This window comes from Homo sapiens, chromosome Y (genome assembly GCF_000001405.40).
Source record: "Homo sapiens chromosome Y, GRCh38.p14 Primary Assembly".
Classification (NCBI taxonomy): Eukaryota; Metazoa; Chordata; class Mammalia; order Primates; family Hominidae; genus Homo; species Homo sapiens.
In genome coordinates, this window is record NC_000024.10 from 23,838,684 (window position 1) to 23,841,210 (window position 2,527).

A 2,527-nucleotide genomic window follows, 5' to 3' on the forward strand; every position below is an offset into this window, starting at 1 on the left:
AGACAGCAAGGAAAGGGTCCCTGGAAAACCACCAGTCTACATGTTTGTGTCTCATTTATACATAACACATAAGCAGTCCGAAAAAAAATCAGGCTGCAGATACCAATAAGACAACTAATAAAGGTGGCTGCATCTTGAGATTCATATCTTCACAGACAGAAGAACCTTAAGTCAATTCAGATAAAAGTCTTGCACAAAACTCGGCCTCACTGTGATAAGAAAATGAGCCCTGGCACAAAAATATCCTTGCCTTTTGTATAATCATTTGGATTCCAGGAAGCTCCTTATAGGTCATGGGATGAGCTCAGCAGCTTCTATAAATTATGACTACACCTCCTGATTATTTCTAGGGAAATTTCTTGGGTTAAGCTTTCTAATTATTCTCAGGCCGAGACCCCAGGCCCAGCTGAATCACATGGTCTTCAAAAGAGTGCATTGACTTAAAGCATTTCTTTCTCATGCTAGTTCATAATAACCCTGAACCTCAACCTCATAGTGGGAAACACATTTGCACCCTTCTTTTCACTGGCAGAGAGCTTTCTTCTTGCACTTTTTTCTTTTTTTTTTCTTTAATCTCAACTTTGTTTCTGAGCTTCTTAATTTTTTTTTTTTGAACTAAGACCAAGATCTTTGCATATAATCACAGACAAAGGGATACCTTTACATCTTGTTGCATTGGTGAGACTACAACATATATTGATGCATGGACTGAAAAGAAAATAACTCAGAGGGTTAAAAATAGAATTTAAACTTTCGTATTCATTTCAAAAATGTCTTCTTTGTTTCAAGAATATTTTTTTCTCATAAAGAGCCTGGCAATTACATGAGATTTAAAGGAGATCCTAAGGAAACTGAAGTTTCAGCTTGAGGCTACATCACAGTGTTACCTGATTGCCTTGAGACTAATTCTGGTCTGTGACGGCTCATCAGGCCTTTGGCTCAAGGATTTCCCATTTTTATCTATTGAATTTATAATTTTGATTTTCACAGCTATAATGCCTTTCATATTGTATGCAATGCTGTAGGTACTTTTGCAGACTAGGTGTATACAGACTTGCTTAATACACTCACTTGGTGTGTTAGTAATTATGAATGTAATTTAAAAAGGTTTATTTTTGTGATTTCCCTGAAACAAGTGGAACTCAAGATTTCAGTATAAATTTTTACCTATAAAAGCCTTTTTGTCCCTCAATAATAGACATTCATGGCACTGTATGGGAAGGATTTGACCCCAAGTAATTACCTTTTCCTTTATTAGGAATTTTTACAAATATATTATTTTCCTCCACATAAAAGTTCCATCATGAGACAAGTTCATTTATGCCTGTTGAGAGACATGCGGTGGAAACAATATATCAAAACCCAAATCTGTCTTTCTAACTTATGAATAAAAATAATTTTGAGTCAGAATTCTTAAGCTAGCATTTCTAACCTTACATCACCACCTAGTGAAATGAGATTTCTTTTCTACCTGGAGCCTTGGCAATTCATTGTCCAAAACTTAGATTTTTCAAATTATTTTCCCATTTACATTCCACTCTCATTGGTTAGGCCCCATGTCCTATCTGTAAACAGGCAGACTCCGCTATTAAAGGAGAAAGACAATGTTACAGGACATATTTTAGCTTCTTTGCTTTCCCCATGAAGGACCATTCAGCCATTCCATTTCTACAGCTTTGAGCCACCTTTTCTATGCTGCACTAATTTTGGATTTAAAATGCTTGAAAGTCAGTCTGTCTCATTCTCTGAGATTCTGATGTTTCACTGAGAACATAGTTAGAAAAACCAAAGTTAGTAGGAAGACACTTCCTCTATTAAAATGGTTTGAACAAATTTTACTACTATGTAACATCTCCAAGGCCTCTGGGGTGAATTGCAAGCCTTTGGGGCTCAGTGGGTCTCGGGCAAAAGCAGGGCAGAAAAGTAGGGATTTGCACAGGTGAGTGTCACTAGTGCTGCTGACTAGCTCCTCCAGATTTATGAGTAAAGGCTATACTTCCATTTATGGGCAGCACCTATGACCATTTGGGGACACCAATGAGACAGAGGAAAAAGATGAAAAAGTATACCTTAACTCTTTCTATTTATTCTGGGTAACAACAAAAGGAGGAAGGCATCTGAGTGATGCCTTATTTCCTCTCTGTTCCTAGATGGCAACAAAGCAACTGTAGACTGCACTCCCCTTGAATGCACTTGGAAGCACTGTGACTCCATTGACCCTGAGTCTCTAAATTTAAAAACAATAATAATAATATTCAATTGACAACAAGATGGCCATATTCCTGATAGAAGACCTGGCCTTCCCAAAGAAGCATAATTTCAGTAATATCTAACAACTAGGTCTTTTTGCTCTCCAAAAAACCAAGATTTTGTAAACATTGTAAAATTTCACCTGCCACTTTGGGAACCATGCAAGGTGAGTCTACCAAAGTTAAAGAGTCAAATCTCTAGAGAACGGCCAAATGCATTTTCTGAGTGCCCAATCTGCCTCCTTTATCTGAGACTCAGAATAGCCATATAATAACCC